This window comes from Homo sapiens, chromosome 6, assembly GCF_000001405.40.
Source record: "Homo sapiens chromosome 6, GRCh38.p14 Primary Assembly".
NCBI lineage: Eukaryota > Metazoa > Chordata > Mammalia > Primates > Hominidae > Homo > Homo sapiens.
In genome coordinates, this window is record NC_000006.12 from 167,848,780 (window position 1) to 167,875,528 (window position 26,749).

General features: G+C 36.5%; 1 protein-coding gene across 53 annotated transcripts in view, besides 2 other annotated features; it reads left to right on the top strand.

The window, feature by feature from the left end:
- Window positions 1–26,749, top strand: part of AFDN (afadin, adherens junction formation factor) — a 145,460-nt gene that overhangs the window by 22,216 nt on the left and 96,495 nt on the right. For 24 of the 53 annotated variants that reach the window (XM_047418788.1, XM_047418789.1, XM_017010878.2 and 21 more), the window contains exons 2-5: window positions 15,772–15,967; window positions 21,604–21,719; window positions 23,435–23,598; window positions 26,556–26,716. In XM_047418788.1, the coding sequence (XP_047274744.1) occupies window positions 15,772–15,967; window positions 21,604–21,719; window positions 23,435–23,598; window positions 26,556–26,716 (637 nt within the window). The remainder of the gene's footprint in view (window positions 1–15,771; window positions 15,968–21,603; window positions 21,720–23,434; window positions 23,599–26,555; window positions 26,717–26,749) is intronic. The other 29 variants (NM_001366320.2, XM_047418795.1, NM_001366319.2 and 26 more) reach the window with 3 other exon arrangements.
- Window positions 8,290–8,584: an enhancer, noted in NCBI's record as "tiled region #4710; HepG2 Activating non-DNase unmatched - State 6:EnhF". NCBI's record gives its function as "activates a minimal TATA promoter and a strong SV40 promoter by Sharpr-MPRA in HepG2 cells {active_cell/tissue: HepG2}" and the evidence as "EXISTENCE:reporter gene assay evidence [ECO:0000049][PMID:27701403]".
- Window positions 15,345–16,544: an enhancer, noted in NCBI's record as "BRD4-independent group 4 enhancer chr6:168264804-168266003 (GRCh37/hg19 assembly coordinates)". NCBI's record gives its function as "activates an origin of replication core promoter dependent on BRD2, P300/CBP, MED14 and CDK7 cofactors, and independent of BRD4, by STARR-seq in HCT116 cells {active_cell/tissue: HCT116}" and the evidence as "EXISTENCE:reporter gene assay evidence [ECO:0000049][PMID:35650434]".

The window sequence follows — 26,749 nt, forward strand, 5'->3', positions numbered from 1 at the left end:
GAGCATGTTTTCATATGTTCATCTAGCCTTTACTTCCCTTTAATTGGATTTCTCTTTTTTACAGACTCAGCTGTGTATTAAACAGAATGTTCATTTTGTATTATTGTATAGTACAATGATTACTGATTGTTTAGTCTGCCATACTGCTGGAACTGGGTGTTTTCCACCCTTATTTTTATACAGCAGGATGAGACGCAGTGCCGCATAGTGGTTGAAAGTGACTTGTTTCAAAATTGCCAGAGTATGAATTCTGGCCCACTGGTATTAGCTCTGTGAACATGGTCCACTTACTTGATCTTCCTTAGGCCCCGTTTCTTCATCTGTAAGACAGGAACAGTAATAATACCTACCTTATGGGGTTGTTGTGAAAATTGGAGTAGATAACGCATAAAAAGTACTTATTAGCACAATGTTTAGCATAAGGCAGGCATTTATACTGTTGTTATTTGTAGTGCATTGTCATCATTAGTATTTGTGGGTTTTTTCTTTCCCTTGATTTTATATGTTTATCTTTGTATCATGTAATGTAACTTGTGGGGGGGGAGAGATTTCCAGCAACATGTTTAGGTTTAGTATTGTATGTTCTAGGTTGACTCTGCATTCTTGTTTGTTGCCGTTTCTTATTTTGTGTTCAATTATAGCTAGAAATGATAGTACCTTCTTCAAAAGTATCCTTATATGAGATTTTTTTGAACAGTGTAATGTTATAAAAACCCAATCAGTGATTTTGAGGTTTTTGTTTCATGGAACTTTACACATCTTACCATATTCTTATCATATTCTGTATCCCTGTCTTTGAGTTCATGCCTATTGTGTATTCCATTACTTACCTAAAGAATTTGTTTCAGAATGTACTTTTTAGAAATCTATATGTGTATGTGTTAGCCTAGGATATTTATTTAACAGTATAGAAGATTCTCAAAAACAGGAGTTAAGAGTATTATTCTAGTGAACAGAGTGTTTCCATAAAATTAAATGAGAATCTACTTCACTGATTGGTTCTTTTCACCATGATTCTGTTTTGCAAAGAGAATTAATTAAGAAAACTTAATTGAACAGTGAGCTGGTTTCATTAGTGTCACTTTTCCTGTCGAGGTTCTAGGTTCCTTTTGTAAGTTACTACTGATAAGAATCCTCCTAAACAGCTTGACCTCCTTTCAGAAGTCCGTGTGCTGATTTACACAGCTTACCTTTTTGTTTTTCTCATGCCTGGTACTAAGTGACATTCCAATCTGCTGTAGTCATTTGGTAATGCAAAGAGTGAAACTGGAAGGGTAGGCAGGAGGTACCGGTTGGCACCAAATATGCAGTTCAAGATCACTCATGATACCAGGGAGAGAATGTCAAATACTTGAACCAGAACAACACATTGTTTTAGTTTGTAAAATTCCAGTTATAAGGCAGTAATAGTCATGTTACTCTACCTCAAAATTATTTTCTTTCTCATTTGTTCTTTTCACCTCTGTCCCAACCCCCCTCTCGCTCATGGATGTGTTTTGTGTGAAATGTGAAAGGTCTTAAGATAGTGGAGGCTTGAAAAAACTGCCTGTGTTTTAAAATGTGCTTGTGTTTGTTTCCTAATGCAGTACTTTGAAGATATTTTAGGTTTAGGTAAGTTGCTTTAAGTTTTTTTTTCTTAATTGGAGTAGGTTGAGTGCTGTGAATTCAATTTTTAGTGTACTATAAAAAGATAGATGGAAGCACTTTGATTATAGGAAGTTTCTTTGAATCATTTGCTATAGTTTGAGTGTTTACTTTAATGTGAAACTCACTGTAAATCCAAGTAAATGCTGATCTACCAATGTTCATGTATATAATTTGTATGGTACATTATCTTCATCGTTCAAATTTAGAACCTTCTTATTATTTCACATACTTAAAGAAGAATCTTAGTTGCAGATTCAAGATGAAGATTATAAAACATTTTCTTGGGTTTTCTTTCAGTATTATAATTTTGAGGCTGAATTTAAGAACATGGTTATTTTCTGTAGACACCAAAACATTTTATAATTTTGTGTATAGGTTGATTTGGGTAGATCAGTTATATCACTGGAAATGATTTCAACTCTCAGAAATTGTATTTCAACAATATAATTTTTTATTGTGTGTGTGTGTGTGTGTGACAAAGTCTTGCTCTGTTGCCCATAGCTGGAGCCGATCTCGGCTCATTGCAACCTCTGCCTCCTGCAAGCGATTCTTCTGCCTCCTGCATTCAGGCGATTCTCCTGCCTCCTGCATTCAAGCGATTCTCCTGCCTCAACCTCCTGCTGGGGTTACAGGCACCCACCACCATGCCCAGCTAATTTCAACAATAGAATTTGAAATATGTATAGTGCCATTCTATTTTTTCTACAAAGTTTGATGGTTTTCATTTTTCACGTCATATATACAGATCTTTAATATATACTCTGTTATTTTTTGCTTTTGTATTTAGTTTTGCTAGAGATAGGTTTTTTATACACATACACATAAACACAAACACACACCTTTCTTTTTTTAACTTTTAGGGTCAGGGGACATCTGCAGGGTATGCAGGTTTGTTACCTAGGTAAATGTATATCATAGGAGTTTGTTGTACTGATTATTTTATCAACCAGGTATTAAGCCTAGTATCCATTAGATATTTTTTTCTGATCTTATTTCTTCTTCCACCCTCCACCCTCCAGTGGGTCCCAATGTGTTGTTCGCCTCTATGCACACCCACCTTTTCAACTAGTTCTTGTGTAAGTGTAGGCAGTTGAGAATTTGTAGACAGGAAGTAATATTTATCAAGTGCCTCATATGTGGCAGGTTCCTTTATATAGTGTGAATCAGTTAGTAACCACCAAACCCTGTGAAATAGTAGCCCCTCCACTTTATAGACAGGGAACTTGAGAGAACTCAAGTGTTTGGCACAGATTCATGTGGGTATTAAGTGAAAGTAAAATTAAGTGGGATTTTACCCAATGTCTGGCTGTTTCCAAGGCTCTGCCTCACTTGCTTTTTGTATGACACACCTGTTGCTTGTTGAGTGTAAGCAAGCTATGTTTGGCTTCTGATGTTAAATAATTCATTATCCATTTTCAGAACCAAAGTTCTTGAGTTTTTGTAGCGCATTTTTAAAAAAAACAGGTTTACTTTATTTTGCACTTAATAGTTGGTAATTATAACTGAATTATTTTCATATTACACATTTTTTAGCGTGAAAATTTTCAAACACAAATGAAACTCATTCCCTAGACTTCACAATTTTCAGTTTGTCGTTCTTAATTTTGTTGTTTTTAGGTGCACTGTTTTTTAAAGCAGATCCTAAAACCCGTCATGTTATTTCTTCCCTACTTCAGTGTGCATCTAACAAAAATTCAACCATCATGCAATAATCTCATTAACAAAATTAGCCAGAATTCTTTGTTATTATCTGTTATTCGGTCCATACTGAGATTCCCTATATCTCTCAAGAATGTGGTTTTGCAGTTAATTTATTTGAATTGGAATCCAAACAAGGGCCACACATTATATTTACTTCTCCTACATCTCTTTTAATCTAGAGCGTTTATTTCATGCCATACACTTTGAAAATATTGGGCTACTTTTTCTGTAGAACATCTCTGTTCTAGACTTACCTGTATCTTTTACAGGGTGGTAGTGGTTTGACATGTTTCTCTAGCTTTAAAGGCTTGAATGGATTCAGGTCCAATTGTTGGACAAGGCTTTATAAGCAGTGCTGTGTATTTCATATTGAATCCCATTAGAAGGTCAAGTGGTGACAGCCCCTGTACTGTCAAGTTCCTTATCACTGTTTCATTCGGAGATCTTTGTCTAAATCAGTTAATGGCTACAAAATGGCGTTTTTCTAATTCCATTATTTCTCTTTACATTTATTGGCTGGAATTCTTTAAAAGATATGTAGACATAAATTCTGAGCTCCTGTATTGCTTATTTTCCAGAGTAAGGAGTTGGTTGCTCTAGTTACCTTCAGTGCTAACATTGATTTTGTTTTGTTGGTGTTCTCATTTTTCTTTGGTATAATGAGCTGGTGGATTTTTATGTATTCCATGTTTCAGTAACTTGAGGTCATTTCTGCTGGTATTCAGATTGTCCCAAATTTGTCCAGCTGCAGTTTTTGGTTGGCTAGAGGGTTCTTTTGATATGAGTTAGTCTTTGAGAACTTCCTTGTTTTCCAGCATAACAAGATGTCCCAAACTCATCTTGTACATTTTCTGACCTAGACCTGGATTAAGCCATTTCTCCAAGTAGCTGTGGTTTCTTTTAGTGGTATTTAAGAGACTACAGTCTAAGTGCTAGAGATGTTCATTTTTACAGATTGTTGTTTGCTTCTGGGCCTTTTCAGTGGGAAAAACTAGGAGGTATTTATATTTTGTGGGGAGAAAAATCTGTATATTTCTACTGATGTTTCCAATTCAGAATGGCCTTGTATGGCTTTTACTTAATTTATTTAATTTTATATCTCTTTTCTCTTACATTGAAAACCTTGTCACTGTATAAACACAACTACCTGTTGGCTTTATTGTATCATATAGTTATTATTACAACATATTGCCAGTATTATTACTAACAACAGGATATCTGAATGGGCATTTAAAAAATTCTGCAAAATTATTTGCAGATACTGACTTGTCAGTAGACTAGTCTGCTGGCAATTTAAAGTCAAAAGCTGTTGTCCAAAATCACTCAGAAAAAAATCTTTTTTCTGTATGCTAATATGACCAACTTGATAGAGAGTTAAGACTCATTCATTTCAGTTTGTTTTATGTTTCCAGCGATTGTCTTTTTTTGTTAAATAGTTACATGGTTCCAGAGCTGAAACTGTGTGATAAAGTACATTTAGAAAAGCTTTGCTTCCATCTTGATTATGTTTTGGTTTGTTCATGCATGGAAGGCATCTCTTTGAAGATGTAACCAAATACAGGTTGTGTGTTTGTGTCCTGTCTTTTCATATAATAGATGCTTATGACACATGCTGTTGTGCGTTGTGCTTTTTTCACTTAACTGTGTATCTTATGCATCATGCCATATCACAGTATAAAGAGTTTTGCCCTAACTCTTAATGGCACCGTTTTATTCCACTCAGTGAATATACGAGAATTTTTTCAACCAGTTCCCTACTGCTGGATCATTTTCAAACATTTGCTTTTATAAACATTGCCACAGTGAATAGCCTTTCGCATTTCATATGTATTTTTTTTAGTGTATCTTTGGTATAGATCCACAAGAGAATTGCTGTTTCAAAATGTACATGAGTATCTAATTTTACCAAATGTTGCCAAATTCTGCACCTTGGGTATATACTTTTTTTTCCCCTTCAGCCCCACAAAAAGACTGGTTTCAAACCTTCAGATTTTTGCCAATTTGGGTGTTGAAAAATGGCATTTTACTATTAGTATTGTCTATTTTAAAGTTGTTTTATTGTGGGTGAGGTTGTTCATCTTTTTGTGTATTTAAGGGCCGATTCACTACTTTGTATGCTGCCTGAAGGTTTTTTTGGGTGCCCATTTTTCTATTGGGTTATTGGTTCGTTCTTCACAAATTTTAGAAACTCTTTATCTGTTAAAGAAATTATATTTCTTTCTGTGAAACAAGTTGGAAATTTTTTTCCCCCAGTGTGTTACTTGTCTTGGTACTTTACCTATTGTGTGCTTTTTGAATTTTTTGTGATATCAAAGTTTTACATTGTCAAACTTATTAACATTTCTTTAATTGACTTTGGATTTCAAGTCATGGTTAGGAAGCTTTTCTTATTTCTAAGTTTTCATGGAGTTTATCCATTTTTTCTTGTACTTGTGTTGTTTCTTTTTTGTATCCCTTGACCATTTGAAATTTATCTTAATGTACAGTGTGATGTATAGATCCAGTTTTCTCTTTGCCGTCTGTCTGTCCCAACACATTTATGAAGAACTTCGTCTTTTCCACACTGATTTGAGACCCACCTAAAAGTCTAGACTTTTTCTTTCATTTATGTCAAGGTGGTGTTTTAAATAGAGATTTTTATAGTTTTTTTAAACATCTAGTAGGCTGACCCTTCATATTTATAATTCTTCTTTTCCTGGATTGCTCTGGATTTCTTGCTTATTTTCCTCATAGGAAATAAAATCTTTTAAATTAGCTTGTTTAGTTCCAGGAAAAAAAGAAAAACCAACAAAACCATTGTATTTTTAGTTACTGTTTTCTTAAATTTATAAATTAAGTGTGTAACTTGATTTTTTTCAGAAGAAAATAAGCAAAAGGTTTTGTTAATATTACAAGAGAAATTCTGTTTTGAAAAACAAACTGTTCAATGATGATATTCAGTGTAATTTGACTTCAAATTTGTCTTCATGTCCTTGATAACTATAATTTTTTGTTGAAATTGAGTTTAGTTGACACAGTTTTCAAGGTATTCTAGTTTACTTAAGTATTTGAAGTGACATGGAATTCATAAATTAATCTTTTTTAAAACTATTAAAATGAATACAGTTGTGATAAATTGTTTTTCGTGTGCTTGACAATACTGATCTAGTTAATTGGACGGTTGAACTACTTGTTGAAATGAGCCAAGTTGTCTCCTGCCTCCAGGAGTACCTTGGCAAATGTCTTCTTTCTTAAAATATTTTTAAAAATTATATATCAGAAGATAAGTTTAATCTTACAAAACGAAGTAGTAAGCCTGGCCACATTACTTAGTGAAAAAAGTAGGTGAGTTCAGAATCCACTCTGCATTACTGACCAAAAGTTAAGTCTTTGTGAATTGAACTTATTCTTGCAGTTTGGTCAGGTCCAGTCACCTTTCTTATTTAATTTAAAATGAGGATTCCCCCCTTAGCTAGCATTCATTGACTTTGAGAGTACTAGAACAGCCTGGTTTATTCTAGACAGTAGGAAGATAGCTTATAGCTTTAACAACTGTGGTTGATTTTTCTCGGAGCTGGAATAACATCAGGAATTTTAGACTCCAGTGGTCACTTAGCTACACCAAATAGTGACCTGAATGTTTAGACAAGGGCCTGTATTATTTAAACCTCAGGATTGTAGTGGATAATACAACACTTTTAGGGTAAAATTCTGCTTTAAGCAAATTGTGTTCACTTGTGATGCATCATTACTTTTCTGAGAAATGATAAGTCATAGTACAGTAGTCCCACCTATCCACTGGTTCACTTTCTGAGGTTACAGTTAGCCAGGATCAACTGTGGTCAGAACATACGAAATGGAAAATCCAAAAATAAACAACTAATATGTTTCGAATTGCATGACAGTTTAAATAGTGATGAAACCTCTGGCTGTCCAGCTATGTTCCACCCGGGATGTGAATCATCCCTTTGTCTGTCATCTCCATGCTGTATATGCCTGTTAGTCACATATAGCTGCCTCATTTATCAGATAGACTGCTGCGCTGCCACAGAACTTGTGTTCAAGTAGCGCTTATTTTACTTAAGGGCCACAAAATGCAAGAGGGGTGATGCTGACATATTGTTATAACTGTTCTAGTTTATTATTGTTAATCTCTTACTGTGCTTAATTTATAAACTTTATTATAGCTTTGTATGTATAGGAGAAAAAAACCTGTAGTATATATAGAGCTTTGTGCTAGTTGCCATAGCAGACGTCCAGTGGGGTGGGGGGTCTTGGAACATGTTCCCTACAGATAAGGGGGAACTACTATACACATTATGGTTGGAAGGCTTTGAACTAGAAAAGTGAAGTATAATTCTTTATGTGCACATACTCTTAGGTACTATTAAATTGGTAGTTAAGTCTTGGCCTACTCTAATTTACTATAGTATTTGGCTAGAAATTGGGTAATTCACTCTTTTATAGAAAGAACTATAGGTCACTGGATAGCCATGTATTTGAAGAAAGTAACATACTGATGAAATATGTAGTTCCTACTGCACTGTGCTAGGTGCTTTTGTGCATACTGTCTCATTTAATTCTCCACCGTAACATGGAGAAGTTGGTACTGTTATCTCCATTTTTATACAAGAGGTATCTGAGGCTGAATACCAGACAAGGCTAAAACAGAAACTTTCAATTTGTGAAAAAGGAGTGTTTTAGTGTCATATATATATGACAAATATATTTATTAAGCCTGTTTTATGTTTGAGGGAAATTGGGTGCATAAAAAGGACTATTTTTGAGCTTTTGTACATATTTATAAAATTGTATAGTTTTGTTGTCACATATGATGGCATATATTTATATATCTTAATGGATAATTTTTGAAGCATCACTTTGTAAGAAAGATGTTTACTACACAGTAAAAAGTTTAAAAGCAATGTTAACCTCGTTATTTATACTCACACTGTAAAAAACTGAACTGTTCATGGAAATGTTTGCTATGATTACGGTAAGATGGAAGAGGAAAGTATCTTGAGGCTTAAAAGCTGTGTAATTCCATTCGTAGGAACCAGTATGGCTTACTAAATACAGTGTTGTCATTTCCTGTGAAAGAGAGAGCGAGAGATAGGATGGGGGTGGGGATAGTTGATATTAGAGAGTGAGAGAGAGGGTTACCAGGTTTGTAGTTCAGGGAAGTGCCTTAGTCATAATGTATCTGGACTATATCAAGGACTTCAATAATGTTTTTCACCACGTTATTGTGTTTAAGGGCTGGATCTAAAATAATTAGATGAAGTAGAAACCAGTTGATTAGTTGTACTCAAAGACTGTTTAACAGATTTTTGCCAAGCAGGAGAAATGTTACTTGGTAAACTAACATGAAAATGACTTGGGAATTTTAATTTTACTGGCTAGATAGTTCCCTGTCACTAGATTTTTTTCAGGGGGTTCTTAAGTTGAAGTCTATGAGTATCATTCATGGGGCCTTTGAACTTGGATGAGAGGGGGATTACATTTGTATTTCCAATAAATACATCCTTATTAATGATAATGTAGCATTTTCTTCACTCATGAGTTTATTATACTGATTACTTCAAAATCCGAGCTGTATGAACCTGAACCAACTGTAGATCTTATGTAATATGTTAATAAAGAAGCACTTATATTACTACATTCTAGGTTTTACAGATATTTTAGTTATGTTTTAATGTAGTCCTTTGAGAACCAACTCATAGCCTTCACTAGATGTCCAAACAGTGCATGGCAAAATCAGTTATACCCCTAGACTAGATAGTTGGCTTTAGGGTTCTGTGTTATGTACATGTGTACGAATATAGTATTTAAAGATTATGATTGAGTTATAAACATAATCTTTAATCACAGATGTGATAATTGCTTTTTTGTCATGAGGGTTTAAAATGTTTTTAATTGATTATCTTTCAAATTTCCAGTGTATGTCTGTGTGGGTAGTTATTTAAAAAGAGTTAAACATTTTTAAGAGTACTGTGGGGAAAACTTTCACTTTTTGATCCCCTTTCCATAATGCTGACTAAGAGTTTGGGTAGATTTCTAATTCCAGTGAAGTCCAGCAGCAGAGCACTGATTTCACTTGCTTTGAAAGTTGGCAGGGTTATGGCTTACAAATGTGTAGCTGCTGTGAGCAGATGATTGTTAAGTAGATAATGTTGGCAGTTATAACTGGGGCAATTTAAAAAGTATGTTGGCTTGTTGGTTTTCACAGCAGGCTGTGTTTTCTGGCAGAGAATTTTGTTTTATTTATAACATTTAGGTGTTTGGGTACTGGATGGATTTTTGTTAGAGTTCATAAAAAGGGAGATCTGTGCAATCGTGTGCTTTCTCTCTGTTTTGTTAGTTTTCTTAAGTCCAGAAATATTTTGTTCTTTGCTTGGAAGATGACCTTTTCCCACTTTCAGTGAACTTGGTCTTTCTCAGATTTGGTGAATAAGCATTAAGATGTACTTCTAGTACAGTGGTTGGTTCACATTACACAGTTGTGCATTGCTGTGTGTTAAGCTTATGCCTTTATTTTCAGACAAAAATTTAACGAAGTCATTTGATTTTAAAGACCACATGTACACATGAAGGTGTAAATTCTTTTTCTAGAATTGGATTGTGTTTGCTAAGTTGCTCTCAGTTGCTTGTTTGCCAGTTTACATTGCCGGCAACAGAATAATAGTGCCCTGTGTGTAAGTCCATACTTTACTGTGCTCATTTTATAAATGAGGAAACCAAGGTTAAAGACAAAGCAAATTGATTGAATTTTTAGAGAAAATTATTTTGTGGTCGGGAAGGTCAGAAAATTCTAAGGTAATGGAATTAGTGCTAATAGAAAACTGGGTTTCTAGGAGCTTTATAGGAATGAGGAGTGGGAGGAAAGGGCTAGGAAGACGGTTTCTTGGGAATGAATACAGTGGAAAGAATGTTAGCCTGGTGAAGAAATTTTATGGCCGTTCTTGTTTTTTTTTTTTTTTTTTTCTTTTTCAAATGCTTCCAGGTATATTATTTGTCTTGTAAAAATTTTAGGTAATGAAATACATTTCATTTCAAATAGTGTTCTTGAAGTATTAGGATTTAAAAATAGTGTTCATAGAAAAGATTTCAAAAGCCCATATTCAAATATTTCTTCTGTCCTCTACCTAAAGCTGTTAACACCTTAATGTTAAGTAGGTCAAATGGCTATTGCCGCCAGGTTGTTTTGTGTACTAGCAACTGGTGTGTGTTGAAGGCACAGCTGTATTTTTTTTAACCTTTGCACATATTTTGTAGACACCAGCATAAGAAATAAATTGGTTGTGTGCATGTGTAACAAAGTGGACAGTCCGTCAGTTTCCTCCATGGGGAGTAGGAATTGGTGATCTGTTTGAAGTTAGCGTTGTTTTGCTACTGGCTAGGACATGGGTTTCGTCTAAGTGCTAACCATAGAAGAAAAGTAAATTGTGCATGGTTGACCTATTTAAGTTTTAGAAAGAATGATTCTGATTAGCTTTATCAAAAGGAGGTTTAGGGTTGTCCTGGTGAATTTCTGCTGGCTTGGAGAATACAGCCAGTTGATTGTTAGTTTTATTAATGAAATACTGATATTTAAAAGAAAATCTCCACCTTTAATTCTTTATTTCTTATATTGACTCTAATAATTTCACAATGTAGCTTGGTTTTGTTATTGTTGTTTTTTTTTTTTTAGTTTTGGATCATTGTATTCTTTTGATAAGCATGAAAAGAATTTTGTTTTGGAGTTGACCTAAAGCAGTTTTTCTGTTTCAGTAATCATTGGTGATAATATTTCTCAGGGAAAAGTGTGTATCAAGGTAAATGTTTACCAAACAAAGTTGTTTTCCTGGCAGGAGAAATAACCATTAAGGAAAGGTTTCCTTCCCTTTGAATTAAATTATTGAGACATACTGAGATGAGCATTGTACGCTGACTGTACTGATGAAGTGATCATAGGCAGTTATTATCTTACCTATTCTAAATAGAAACTTCTTTCTGAAAACGTGCTGCTTCCAAGTAAGCTCTTCATTTAGGTATTAAGTACCTACAGCAATGCTTTTTTTTTTTTTTTTTTTTTTTTTTTTAGAAACCTTTGTCTTTGTAAGATTATAACTAGGTTGGCTGCAACATATTAGACTATTAATTCTGCCCTTGAGACTTTATGGCTGTTTATTATAAATTTAAGTTTTGCTTTCCAGCATTCTTATCAATTGAGAACAGACAACCACAGCTGGCAGAATTAGGTCTTGTTATTGGGCATCTTGACTCATATTTGTTTTTATTGTTATATGCAGAGCATTGTATTGGATCCTGAGGGAGGACCTAGAATAGGGAATAAAAGAGGTTTCCTTGTCCCAGAAAAGCTATATTCTAGTGGGAGAGACTGTAAAGAAGAAAACTTCTCATTGTTGAGCACTTACCTGTGTGTGAGGTAGCATGAGTTGCTTTATATATTTTGTTTAATCCTCAAAACAAGCTTGTTTTCATTTTATAAAGTGGAGATTTGAGTTCACATAGACTTTAAATAACTCACTCAAGGATGTGGCTGTCATGTTGAAATGTGAACCTGTTCATGTCCTGTTGCAGCCCCCCAGATGTTTCTGCTGCACTGTAGGACAGACAGATGTCTAGACGTGGTGGATGAGGTTGATTAGGCACTGTGTGGGGCGTGAGCTGCCTCGGAGTCCCTCGTGAGCAGGAAGAATACTTGTATTTGAATGCCAGGCCTGTCTAGGTAGGTGATGGTCTCAAGTCACCAACAATTTCTTTCTCTCATTTAACCATTCATTCATTTGTTTCTTCTGGAACTTTTCTTGTACCTGTTGTAAGATCAGAGAAAAATAATTAGTGTCAAACTCCCAGCAGAGCATGGTGATGTAGGCAGGTCTGGGGCCAGTTAATGCTGGCTGTACCTCAGCCCTGCTGCTGGGCAAGCTAGGTGTTGGTGGTCAGTGTACTTCTTTGGACCTCCCCTCCTCTCCCCAACCCTCTGCACCCCTCCTCTCCCCTCCCTTCATACCCAGTTTTCAGGTTTAGGAACTTGATTTTATCCATTTGACTAGTTTTGATAAGATTCTGTGGAATTATTCACAACAGCCAAACATGATTGGCAAAATAATTGAGCAGAATGTTAATCTGTTTATTAAGGGAATATTCTGGGAACAGGTATTAATACATTCTTGTGTGATGTCAAACTAAATTAATATTTATTAACATGTAGTGCAAATGAAATATACTAAAACATAGTTTTCATAGGCTTTATTTAGGCTTGGTAGAACCTGGAACATTGTTTCCAGGAATACTCTTACTTTTCTATACACAGGAATGCTACTGCCTGATGAGGACACCAGTATCTCCTTACTCCCTTGGGTTTCTTTTTTTTCTCTCTTTGATCTCTTAACATTTTATGTAAGGTAAGTAGCTGGGCCACATTGGTAATAAAGATTTTATGTTTGCAGTTTCCTTTTTTACAGTGAAGGGCAGTAATTTATATGTAAGGAATTTTCATGAAGGTGACTTTAAGTGGATTCTCCTCTTTTCCCTGTTTGTCTTTATCAGCTCATTCTGGATTCTTTCCTTTGTGTTGCTGATGTTAATGGGCATTCCCTCTCACCCTTGCCAGCCACAGATGATGCTTCTGTTTTTCTTTTGGTTCTTTAATATCTGGTAATTTGGAATTATTTGTTGGCAATTCTCAGGGAAACTGGTGCTTTTGTATTTCTTGTCATCCTTTGGTACATCTGGCCTGTTTTATTCTGATCACAACTAATGTAAAACTATTTTGTTAGCAAAATGATTGAGTACTATGGAGATTAATTGCTTTTTTGCTTTAACTTCTTGTATAAGGGTGAGCCTTTGGAGAAGCCTGGGGGTAGTTTTGCCAATGAATATTTTAGAGACTATTAGGTTTAGTATAAAGATGGTTTCAGGGTGGTAGTGTGAAAGTATTGGAATCCTGGAATAAAAATACAGCTCCCATGATAAAATCTTAAATTTATACAGCTAAATTTGTATAGAAATTTTTGTTTTCTAAAGTGCCATTTTAGGAGTCCGTGGAAGGGGGTAGCGGCAGATGCTTGAATGATTCCAAGAGGTACAGCCAGCAGATGTGGGGAGAACGAAGGTGAAGGAAAGCTGGGGAGACAGTGCGTAGGACGTGGTCAGCACAGTACCTGGCACATAGGCGGTGAGCGTGGCCTGTCATTAATATTACCTAAGACTCACAGGTTTATAGTGTAGGAGCATGTTTCGCATGCATTTTTAGTTATAAAGGTTTGGTTTTTTTTTTTTTAGATGAAGTCTTGCTCTGTCGCCCAGGCTGGAGTGCAGTGGCGCGATCTTGGCTGACTGCAACCTCCACCTCCTGGGTTCAAGCAGTTCTCCTGCCTCAGCCTCCTGAGTAGCTGAGATTACAGGTGCCTGCCACCACGCCCAGCTAATTTTTGTATTTTTGTAGAGACAGGGTTCCACCATCTTGGTCAGGCTGGTCTCGAACTCCTGATCTCAGGTGATCCGCCCACCTCGGCCTCCCGAAGTGCTGGGATTACAGGCATGGGCCACCGTGCCCGGCAGTTATAAAGGTTTTAGGGTTGCCAGACTAACATAGAGATGGACATGTTTAAAAGGATGTCAGGTTTGCTTTGTTTGTTACTTGACCCAGACCAGACTAAGAGGTTGTTGATAGAATTTCTGAGAGACAGCAGGACTCCTACTCATGTAGCTCCCATTTTGCCAACTCTTTAAGCTTTCTCAGGTCTCGCACCCAAAACTATGGCCCTCCTTTACTCCAGAATCTATGGGTAAGTGTTGTTTCTGAACATACATGCTCATTTATTTTGTATTTTCTCTTGGTATAGTGGGTAACAAGACACCCTGAGCAAGCACTATAAAGTTTCAGGGCTAGAAATGTGCCTTACTGTCTCACTTTTTTGTTTTGATTTTCATAAGTTTGTATGGTTGTTAACCCTGTTCTAATACAGGTTAAGTGTCTCTAACTTGAAAACCTGAAATATGACATGCTCCAAAATCTGAAATGTTTTGAGCGCCAACATGACACTCAAAGGAGAAATGCATATTGCAGCATTTCAGATTTCAGATTCTCAGATCAGACATGCTGAAGTGTATCATGCAAATATTCCAAAATCTGCAAATACTCAAAATTCAAAATAGTTCTGGTTCCAAGCATTTTGAATAAAGTATTCTCAACCTGTATCCCATTTCTCCTATTTTTCTTCAAATAAGTACTTCTTAGTTCATACTTATTAGTCAAAAAGAGGCTAGTGGATTGGGGAAAATTAAAGAAAGGCTTCATTCAGTGTGATGGGCTTTGAGGACCAAATGGTTTGACTTTTGAGAACATGAAAGCCATTGCAAAATGTAAAGCCAAGGAATGATGTGTTGTGACTTAGTTTGAACAGGACTTTGGTTGGATTCTGGGTGTATTTTGATGGATCAGATGTGGAACCAAGGATGACTTTAGTTGAACAACTGAATCTTTAATCTTGCTTGAGACAGTAAAAGTGACCTAGGAGTTAGAAATATTCTCTGGAATTTTTGTTGGGAGTTGTGCTTTTTCTGTGTGCAAGGAAATAATGGGAAAGGACATCCCACAGTTGTGAGTGTCAGCCCACATTGCAGTAGATGATACCTGTGGAGGGGATACCTTTGGCTGGAATACCAATGTGCTTTTTCTCTAGAGGTAAGATTTTGAGACAAATCTAAAATGCGTTCATTGATTATGGGCAAGTAGTTCATTTAGAAAATTAGTTACAACTATTAGGTTGGTGCAAAAGTACTTGTGCTTTTTGCCATTGAAAATAATGGCAAAACCCACAATTTTGCACCAACATAATATATTCTTCAAAAATTAAGAGTTTTCATTTATTCACATTAATGGTTGGGACCAACATTTCCCTCTTGCTTTTTAAAAGGAACTTGTTCATTTAGGCTTTTGACCCTTGGAGCTGGAAAGGGACCTCACGGGCAGTACAGGCACGGACTTTGGAGTCTGGTGGATCTGGGTCTTAACTCTGGATCTGCCACATACCAGCTCGAGCACCGAACTCAACTCTATGAGTTTGGACAACTAGATCTTGAAATAGGGTTAAATAATAGTATCTGTTGAGCTGCATTCTTATAAATATTGAGTGTCATGGTGTGCCTACCACTTGCCAAGGACCAATAGATGTTAGCTGTTGATAACATCATCTATTTGACAGCCATTATTTCATACGTGACACAGGTGAGGCAAAGAGAAATTGTTAGTAACTTGTTCAAAGTCAGAAATGAAACTTGAAGACTAAAAACCCATCTCTCTACATTAGTCTCAGATGTTTATGATGAAGCATTTTTTAAAAAAGTGAACAGACTTCCTCATTTATTATTACAAAAAGTGAATCCTTTTCAGAATGTTGTTTTCCAAAAATGTACCATTTTGTTTTCTTTTAGGATTTGGAGTTCCATGGAGTGATGAGATTTTATTTTCAAGATAAAGCTGCTGGAAACTTTGCAACAAAATGTATTCGGGTCTCTAGTACTGCCACCACTCAAGATGTAATCGAAACGCTCGCGGAGAAATTTCGACCTGATATGCGAATGCTGTCCTCTCCCAAGTATTCACTCTATGAAGTGCATGTCAGCGGAGGTCAGTGTATACAGGAAGGGTTTGCTAGAGGCATGACCTGACCTGTGAAGAGACAGCTTGTCCAGGGTCATTGTGGTCATGTCAGGTTTACTGCTCGTCTCCATCTTTCTTCTCTTTTGGTGGGTAGGAGAGTAGCTGGCAGGCTGAGAAAACTGTTTTATGTCTGGGAAGTGTTCTTATAAATCCCTGGCACATATATCTGTTGGAAGTTAGAATGAATATATTAATTTTGCATATGCTTATTTCTCCAAAGATAAGTAACGTTACATTTATCCAACATATCTGGGTGTCACATACATTGTGTAGTATGCTACCTGCTTTTTGAGAATGTTTTATGTGGCTCTTATGTAGAGATTATAATAATTGTAACACAGTTAAATATTATATAGGTATGAGTCATCAATCTTGCTGTAATATTTTTGCCTTCTGAAACAATACATTTTCATTATTCTTTGGGAATAATTTAGGGTATGTATCTTAAGGAAACCTCCTTATGTATTTAGTAATTTCTGCTTGTATTAACATTAGAAATTTCTGAAAATATCTTATATAGCAATATCAAATGACAACTAAAATTAGACTGATTAAGAAATGTGGAAATTTAGGTAAGTGCCATGGCTTATGCCTGTAATCCTGACACTTTGGGAGGCTGAGGTGGGAAGATTGCTTGAGGCAACATAGTGAGACCCGTCTCCACAAAAAAATAAAAAAAAAAAGTTAGCTAGGCATGATGGCACATGCCTGTAGTCCCAGCTACTTGGGAGGCTGAGGCAGGAGGATCACTTGAGCTCAGGAGTTTGAGGCTTCAGTGAGCTAGGATCGTGCCACTGCACTCCACCCTGGGTGACACAGTGAGACTTTGTCTCTAAAAAAATTAATAAAATGAAATGTAGAAATTTTTAAATTTTTTCATTGGTGTTTTGGAAATGTTGAGTAACCTGTTTTAATAAAATACAGATTACAGTTGGTGCAGCAAATAAAGGATTTATGTATAGCACAAACCTAATTTGAATACCTCTTTTAAGTTCCATCCACAGATCTTTTTTGAACCTTTTTTTTTTTTTTACTCAAAAAATACTGCTTTCTTTGTACATATGAAAATAGACTAAAGTGTTTGTAATATGTGGGATTTTCAGGTGTGACTAAATCCTTTTTCCCTCAGTAGTATGTAAGTCAGGCCATTTTTTGTTGTTGTTGTTTGTTTACTTTTTTTCTTAAGGTTATCATCTTCATCATTAATGCCAAAACTAAATTTAACAATAGAGGGTGTTCTCAATTTTGGGTGATTTTTCTGAAGCTGAGTTTTTCCTTTACCTTAGAATTTTTGTAAATAGGTTACAAAGAAGAATAAAATCTCTCTCACTTCCACCTTTTTTTTCTTTTTAGTCTGTGCTGTTCAGTTAGTTGAATACTGTCGAGTGTGAAGTCTGAATAATATGTAAGATTGGAGTTTGAGGTCTAAAAATTGGATGAATTTGATTTTTTAAAGAAAAGGGTGAAAACAAAAAGATGGTTAAAGAAGAAGGAAATAGTGTCTTCCCCACTCCCTCAGGTACCCTTCCACACCTTTGGGCTTAAAGTGCTGGTTTTTTTTCACCAGTGCCTCAGGTATGAGGAAAGCCCTAGCATGCAGGTTCTCAGTCTTTTCTGGGTTACAGAAACCTTAGCGTCTCAGTCATTTTTTAATAATGGCACCGCTAGGCCAGAGGAAATACCTAATAGTCCGTTTCATTAAGTAGTTAGATTCAGACAGGTTTAGTAAGTGTTTAACAGTGAACAGTTAGGTAGATGTTTGAAAAATAGTACACATAAAATGATGGAAAACTGAAGCTTTCATTTTATTCTTAATCACAGCTGCTGTCTGCTGGGACAGTTGTGCCTCTTGGGCCTTTCCGAGCTCCTCAGACCCTGGGAGCCCTGACTTCTTGTCCATGTTGATTTTCAGAGAGTACTGCTTGTTTATTACAGCGTTACGGAAAACCCAGCTTTGTATGTATGTGATGCCGACAGAAGAGACGCTGTGCAGTTTGCTGTGGTCCAGCAGCCACCCGAACCAGTTCTTTTGGTGTCTGGCACATGCACCTTGTTTCTCTTGAATATTTAAATGCTCCTCAGTGCCCTGGGGTCACCTCAGCACGTTTGCATACCGCAGCCCTAGTGAGCTAAAGCCCCAGCCCCAAACCTTCAGCCACCAGGGAAGCTCTGCATCTATTCTTTTTATATAGTCCAAGTCTTTGTGTGAATTCAGTAGGAAACATAAAAAAGGATCATGCTACTTTAAAAACGTGAATGAAACCACTAAGGCAGAAGAGATCTTAAATGCGTAAAGATTACAGTAGGACCCAGTTCCCTCTTTACCTTCAGTGCCTACTCACACTTGCTTTAGAATATCTCAGCCCTCTTCTTGCTTTACTTTTATGATGTATACATAATTGTTAATGGTAGTTCTCTAAAAGTTGCACTCTGAAGGATTTTCATCTAGTAAAAATTTTGCAACAAGAACGATTTGGTAATTTTGGTTTATGGAAGGAATTCAGACTTACTGTTCTATCCCTAATTTTTACTGTGGTTTTAACTTCTTATATTTTCAGTTGATAAAATAATTATCCAAAATTTTTTATTTCTGTATTTTGATAACTAGCATTTCTATTGTTTCTATTACGGACTAATTCTTTTTTTTCTTTTCTTTTTTTTTTTTTTTGAGACAGAGTCTCATTCTGTCGCCCAGGCTGGAGTGCAGCGGCATGATCTTGGCTCACGGCAACCTCCGCCTCCCGGGTTCACGCGATTCTCCTGCCTCAGCCTCCTGAGTAGCTGGGATTACAGGCGCCCGCCACCACACCTGGCCAATTTTTTGTGTATTTTTAGTAGAGACAGGGTTTCACTGTGTTGGCCAGACTGGTCTTGAACGCCTGACCTTGTGATCCACCTGCCTCGGCCTCCCAAAGTGCTGGGATTACAGGCGTGAGCCACCGCGCCCGGTTACATGATAATTCTCTAGCTAGTCTCATGGCCTCCTATTTTTACCAGCCTCCTTGTAGCATATCCTGTATATAATTACCTGGATAATCTTTGTCAACACTATTAGTAGTACTGTCAATATCATCATTGTTGTCATCATTATGGTGTCATTTTTTATGGGGAGGGTGGTGGTAAACTATTGCTCATTTAAAATTTAAATTTTTGGCATAGCATTGAAAGTGCTTTTTCAAATTAATAGTTCTCTTCCCCTGCGTGAGGCTGTAGTAAGACCCTTGTGCCGTCACCATGCTGTTACTGCCTCTCTTTCTGACAGTTTTCTGGAACAACCTGTGCTTATCCTTTCCTTCAAGGGCTGACCTGGTCATATAGTCTCTGGGCATCTTTTCGTTGAATAACCTAACCAAAGTGATCGTTTGTACTGCCTCATCTAGTGTTTTTATTGTAATATATTATTACTAATACAGCAAAGTACTGTTTTCCAGAGATAGTATCTGTAAAAGGCCCCTTAGAAAAACACATTTAAAACTGGGATCAAAGCTGAATGTGGTAGCATGTACCTATAGTCACAGCTACTCAAGAGGCTGAGGTTGGAGGGCTACTTAAAATCAGGAGTTTCAGATCAGCCTGGGCAACATAGTGAGACCCTCATCTGGAATCAAATTTTATAGTAAATGCTGACAGCATTTGGAGACCTTTGTTAGAAAAACAAAGTGTATCTCATATTTATCATTTATTGCTTCAAATATGGACTAATTGAAAAAACAAAGACTTAATCTTGGGTTGTCTTTCTTGACTTTCTGTGTGACTGTTGGGGTGTGATTATGAAGAGCACTTTGAGTTTAGGACTTGAACCAGTATTTCTCAGAACGTCTTCCAGTCCTTGGAAAATCACATCTTTCTCTTGCAAGGAGTCTATGTTATCATCATCCTTATCAGTTGTCTCTTTAGTTATTAATTGGTCTGTCTGATCCTCATTTATCATTGGCCGAGTTTGTGCTTGATGGAGTTTTTACTATCATCAGCATTGTGCAATCTTTTTTTTTTTTTTTTTTGAGACAGGGTCTCACTTTGTCACCCAGAGTGGAGTGCAGTGGTGCCGTCACAGTTCACTGTGGCCTCAACCTCTTGGACTCAAGTGATTCTCCCCCCTCAGCCCTCCAAGCAGCTGGGACTGCAAGCACACACCACCACACCCGGCTAATTTCTTCTTCTTCTTTTTTTTTTTTCTGTGGAAATCGGATCTTGCCATGTTGCCCAGGCTGGTCTCAAACTCTTGAGCTCGATCGATCTATCCACCTTGGCCTCCCAAAGTGCTGGTATTATAGGTGTGAGTCCAGCCAGCATCGTGCAGTCTTGTCCTTTTCTGCAAAGTATAGCAGTTTGCAGTTTGTGTGACAGGGCACTGTCATATGCATTCTGACTGTGAGGTGATGTGACTGATGGGGTGCTGGGCAGTGGGCAGAGCTGGACAGGGAGTGATGTTTGGATAGGGAGTCAGTGATTTTATTTTATGGTGAATTTTACTTTCCTTACTCAACTCTGAAAGTGCTGGGTCTTGTGTTACTGATATTCAGGTTACAGAGCATTCCTGTAACAGATGTTTCTGAAAGAGGCATTTCTAAAAAAAAACTAAAATTCTGCCAAATTGTACACTAAAAGGTAGGGACTTTAAGATAAAGAAAGATTTGGGTAGGTCACTCAATACCTGTTTAAATTTGTAGCACTGGCTCAAAGAACAGTTGAAGGTTTGAGCAGAGTGAATGGATTTCTCCGAGCGACAAGGAGAATTCCTGGGGAATGTAGCCTGAGTTGTGTGTGGGGCTTGCAGCGTCAAATCTGTTGCCAGCTCCTGCTTCCTTAGTGTTCTCCAGCCTAGGATGGGTGTCTTGGCCAGTAGGAGCAGGTCCATCCTTCAGTGCCGCCTTTTTTCCACAGCTTCCAGCGACCGTAGGCCTCTGTGAGGTGGTCAGGCTGTGTGAGGCTCTCACGGAGACCCTCCGTGGAGTACCATGTTCCTGATAAGTGTGCCTGGGAGGCTTGCTAATGAAAGAAGTAATATACCAAACATAATACTTTACATAAGAAAAGTGATGGTAACTTTATGGTGGAAGGGAGAGGTAAGTGTTGAAGTGGGCAAATTTTGGAGACAAGGATCAGATGCACAGAGACAGGAAGAATAGTGCAGTCATCACTTCCAAGACTGGTGAGGGCTGCTGCCATCGCTTTGTGTGGGGTATAACATTAATGTGATGAGAACAATCTCATAGAATCAGTGGAACTTCTGTGTGGTATTAACATTATGTCCTTATTTTCCAGTTGCATATGAGATAATTTGATTTACAGAAATAAGCTTTTAGCAAAAACCATGTATACTTTTTTTCTTATTGCATGTATATTTCTCTTATTTTCCCAGTTAGATCTAAATGAGGGAATTGCCTCTGTTCAGTGTCTGGCACTGGATATGTGGTAATAAACATACAGTAGCAACAAAATGTTGAATTAATTAAAACAAATGATTTTACATTTTGAACAATACATTTCAGTCTGCAAGTAGGTGCTTTGTCTATAAAATTAAATGTATATCAGAATGCTTGTATTAGCTAGTTCTATGAAATAACCATAGCTTATTCTTTTTTTCATTTCATGTTTTGAAGAAGAAAGAAGATTGGATATAGATGAGAAACCTCTAGTTGTACAACTGAATTGGAACAAAGATGATCGGGAAGGCAGATTTGTTCTTAAGAATGAGAATGACGCCATTCCTCCTAAGGTAGGAACCCTCAGTATTTTATGACGGTCTTGGTCCAGGGCCAGGTCTGACTGATAAACAGGAGACTGATGTTTTGTTACAGGAGTTCCTTCTCTTTTTTGCTTCTCTTTATAAACCCTTTTACCCTCCTCCCAGAAAATAATTTAAAAGAAGCCTTTTTCTCTCTACTTTATCCTTTATCTCAACTAGTAATTCCAGATATTGTTTCTCACCTTTTCAAAGAATATTTATGTAAACTCGTTACTGTGAGATTTAATGATCAGGTGATCAGCTGCAGTTATTTTTTTTTTCCAAAATATAAAATCAGAATAGTTCTAATAAGGATCAAAAGGGAAAATAACGCTTTTATATCTATTTGTGAACTTTTAGATGCAACTTTGGTCATTTAAAACGTTTTCATTATGTGCAGGGTTAGGAATTAGTAAACTTTCTTGAATGATGGAATAGAGTGATTCTACAACTTCCTAGGTGGTAGGATATCTGGAATTCTGTGCTGCTATGTTTATTTTGTGCTAAATCAAGTGGCATCTTACACAAGAATTCATTATGGACAAGTGATAGCAAATGCAAAGGTTAAGAATATTTTTATGAAAAATCTTCCATTTCATTCCCCCCCGCCCCGCCCCCCAACAGATTGGGAAAAGGCTGTCGTTAATCACTTTTAGCAGCAGAAATTTTTTATTTTGTGTGATGTCACTGTTCCATGTTGAAGAGTCATGGAGATGTACAAAATGTATTGACCTTATTTGTTACTGTGCTTAGTGATGTGTCATATTTGCAGCAAATACAAAAAAAGTTAAGAATGCATGTCCATTGTTTTGCTATACATGTTTTATTTCATTTCTGCTCCACAATTTCAGCAGATGCTCTTTCATTCTGTATATTTTGCTATGGACCACAGACCCTCATTGACATGTATTGGAACTCCTAAGACCAGTGCAGTGCTCCAAGTATCTATGAATCAAATGGCAGTGTTCACATGCTTTTCTCCCATAACTTATAAAGCAGAAGGTAGTTTTCTTTCCCATCACAATAGCCATTCTTTTCCTTATTTTTCATAGTTATTTTCTTATTAAGTTATCTGTAAAAATAATGCATCTCTGTCATCTGCTAGCAGGCCATTGTTCGAGGTTAAAATACAAATTAAGAAGAAGCAAGCAAATAAATCAGATCTGGAAACGAAGTTAGAGATTTTTGCACAAACATAATACTTACAACAGTTTCATAAAAGCCAATTTATTATGGCTACTCTTAACAATTCCTTTAAAGTTAAAAACTACTATAGGCGATTTGTCTATTATTCACTCTTTGTTTTTATAATTTTGTTAGGTTTCTTTTATTCAAGTTACTTTATGTAAATTACTTGGAGTTTTATTTACTGAAAATCAGATTTCATCATTTCTCCCCCAGTTTTCTAACTGGCTTTGATTTTTGTTTCTTAGCTTGCTTGCTTGCTAGTTTTTAAATGAGGTAAAATATAGATTCGGTGAGATGCACAGATCTTGAGTGTGCAGTTCAATTGATTTTGATAAATACACCCATGTAACTGCCAGCTGAATCAAGATAAAGACCATTCTCATTACTCCAGACCTTCCTGTGTTTCAGTAGCTTTGTTCACATGTTCGGCAGCATGTGAGATGAAGTTACCTAAGCCGTAGGCAATTTTATGTGATTCTGCATAGTAGTCAATATGGTGATAATGTTACTTTCATCAGAAGGCTCAAAGTAATGGACCTGAAAAGCAGGAAAAAGAAGGGGTTATCCAGAACTTCAAGAGAACTCTCTCAAAGAAAGAAAAGAAGGAAAAAAAGAAGAGAGAAAAAGAGGCATTGCGACAGGCATCTGATAAAGATGATAGACCTTTCCAAGGGGAGGATGTGTAAGTCAGTTTTGGAAATGTTCCCCTTTCTTTGTGCTCCAAATCAGATGTTTTTGTTGCACCAAAATTGTTAAATTTTCAGATAAATTATGGAAAGGATGAGTATCAGTCAGGAAATGTGTTTGGGTCTACTCCCAGCTCTTCTGTGTGGAGGGAGGATAGAGGGTCTTACCTAAGCAGGGTTCATTGCTGGCAGTGCCTGTCTTGCTGTGCTTGGGAAGAATCTCTGCACCCACAGTCTTGCTAGTCTTAAATAAGCAAACTCTAGTTAACATTATTATTTTTCTTTTTCATCTTCAGCTGGGTTTTTTCCTCATTTCTGTGGTTTTGGCCATGAGGCAGCAGTTGTCTCATATGTACCTCAGATACACTTAATGCCTAGTCAGAGGCTGACAAGGTGAAAAGCAGGTTTTCCCTTTTAAGCTTCAGATCACCATCTAGTTCCCTCCACTTCCACCTCCCATTTCTTATTTTGTCACACCAGTTCCATTGTAGATGGTTACCTATTTTAAGTGTTTGAGGATCTGACACAGAGCTGAGGGAATAAGTTAAATCATTGCATTTTTACTATAACAAAAAGAGTCACTGGGAGAAACTAGACTTTCCCCTTAATGTGGAGTTTCTAGTTCCTGTTTTCACCCTCAGCAGTTTTTGGTTTTTTAGTTAGTGCATTTGGTTATCATATGCCTGTTCTTAGGCAGCTTGCTGTTGCCTTGGTCTTGACTACATGGTATTCTATACATTACTTTTCCGTAATCAAATAATGTATACTCTTTTTAGAAAGTCAGAATATATAGATTTGCCAAAAAGGGTGAAGAACGTAAAGAACTCACCTGTCATCACATGAACCCAGAGAGAATCATAATCTAGTTTGTTTTTTCTCTATAAATGTTTCTATTTCATATACTTGTCTGGAGAGGCTTTAAACAGAAATGTAACCACAGTTTCTTCAACTGGATTTTCACTTGATATTTTTTCCACTAAGATGTTTATATTTCACAAAAACATTTTTAAACGATTATACAGTATTATATAGTTCTTCCATAATTTATGTAACTAGTCCATTTTTGGTGTACTTATAGATTGTTCATAGTGGTTCTTTGTTTTGTTTTTAAATAAATGTTCCAGTGAATATCCTTGTTCTACGACTTAGGGAACTTATCTGATTATTTTCTTAGGGTGCATTCTAGAAGAATGGTTGGGTGACAGGGTTCAGATACTCTCATGTGTTCTGAACCCATCGGCAGACAGCCCCGTACTGTCATGGAGCCCAGAAGACTTCTCTTTTCCTTACACCTGCAACTCTTAGGTGTCACAGAACAGTATATTATCTCTACAGTATATAATACCTTCCATAAATTGAATTTGTTATTAATAAGGCAACATCTTTCCACATATTTATTAACCATTTGTATTCTTTTGTTGGAGTGGCCTGTCCAAGGCTTTTTCCCATTTTAAAATTGATTCTAAGTGTCCTGTATGTATTGAGGATATTAACCATTTGTCAGTGAATAAGGTATACTTTAAAGTGGAATTTGAGCCTATTTTGTGTTGCATCAAAAGGGGGTTTAGATATGAATCTACTAGACAGTGATGCCTATGTAATCACTTGAGTCTAGTATTACATAATAAGACTCTATTAAATGCAGTTATGCAAGAGAAAAAAATGTACAAAGATACGTTGCTCATACATGAACAAAAATCAAAGAAAAGGAGAGTTTAAAACAGGCTAGGTTCATGCCTGTAGCCTCAGCTAGTCAGGAGGCTAAGGTGGGAGGATTGCTTGATCCTGGGAAATAGAGGTTGCAGTGAGCAATGACTGTGCCACTGGACTACATAGCGAGACCCTGTCTCAAAATAAACCAAAACAAACCAAAAGCTTCTACTTTATGACTCGCTCTATTTATCATCTTGTTTATGGGGTGATAAATTATTTAACTTAAAATGAGTTGTTCAACTTGATTAAAAGCTTGACTATTTTTAATTAAATTATTTTTTATGATGAAAAATTGTGTCTTTAAAGTATGTTTACCAAAATTTAGTTAAGTATGTCAGTTACCTAGTATTGTTTTCAGCTCATCATTCTGTACATTTGACTTCTTCACAGAAACTGTTGGAGCAATTAATTCTTTTTGAAAATTTAACTTCAAGAAAGTTAATGCTTTTAAATCTTTTAGGTGTTAAAAAAAATCATTCCATTCAATTAATTTGGGCTTTTCAAAATTTGCTATAATTTTTTTTTTTTTTTTTTTTTTGAGATGAAGTTTTGCTCTTGTTGCCCAGGCTGGAATGCAGTGGCACAATCTTGGCTCACTGCAACCTCCGCCTCCTGAGTTCAAGTGATTCTCCTGCCTCAGCCTCCCAAGTAACTGGGATTACAGGCATTTGCCACCACGCTCGGCTAATTTTGTATTTTTAGTAGAGACGGGGTTTCTCCATGTTGGTCAGGCCGGTCTCCAACTCCCGACCTCAGATTATCCACCCACATCAGCCTCCCAAAGTGTTGGGATTATAGGCATGAGCCATCATGCCCAGCCTAAATTTACTGTAATGTTAAGACAGATTTTTGCAAAATTAAGTATTCAGTCCTATATTTCTTTCTTGTGGTTGGAAGGTCATGGTAAAATATTGGTCTGTTTTAGGGTAACACTGGTGGAAGTTACTGAAATGTATAATCAATATATTTTTCTTTTAGCATTATTCATGAATAAACTCACTATTAATGTAAACTTTTAATGATAGATGTCTGCTTAGTTCAGTATATTAGTTTGTGTTGAGAGAAACTATATTCTTTATCATATAGTAATTAGCATGTGGTAAATAGTACGTAACAGACCTCTTAGGTACAGATGTAGCCAAATAGCACCTGCCATTTTGATTTTTGTGCGGTTGCAATGTGTCTATTTCTAATAAGAAAACAGTGTTTAAAATATTTTTGGTATTTTTTTTTCTTACAGTGAAAATTCTCGACTGGCTGCTGAGGTTTACAAAGACATGCCGGAAACCAGCTTTACTCGAACCATTTCTAATCCTGAGGTGGTTATGAAACGACGGAGGCAGCAAAAATTGGAAAAGAGAATGCAGGAATTTCGGAGCTCAGATGGGCGGCCTGATTCAGGTACAACTTGGTATTTTTTCTCTGTTCTACCTG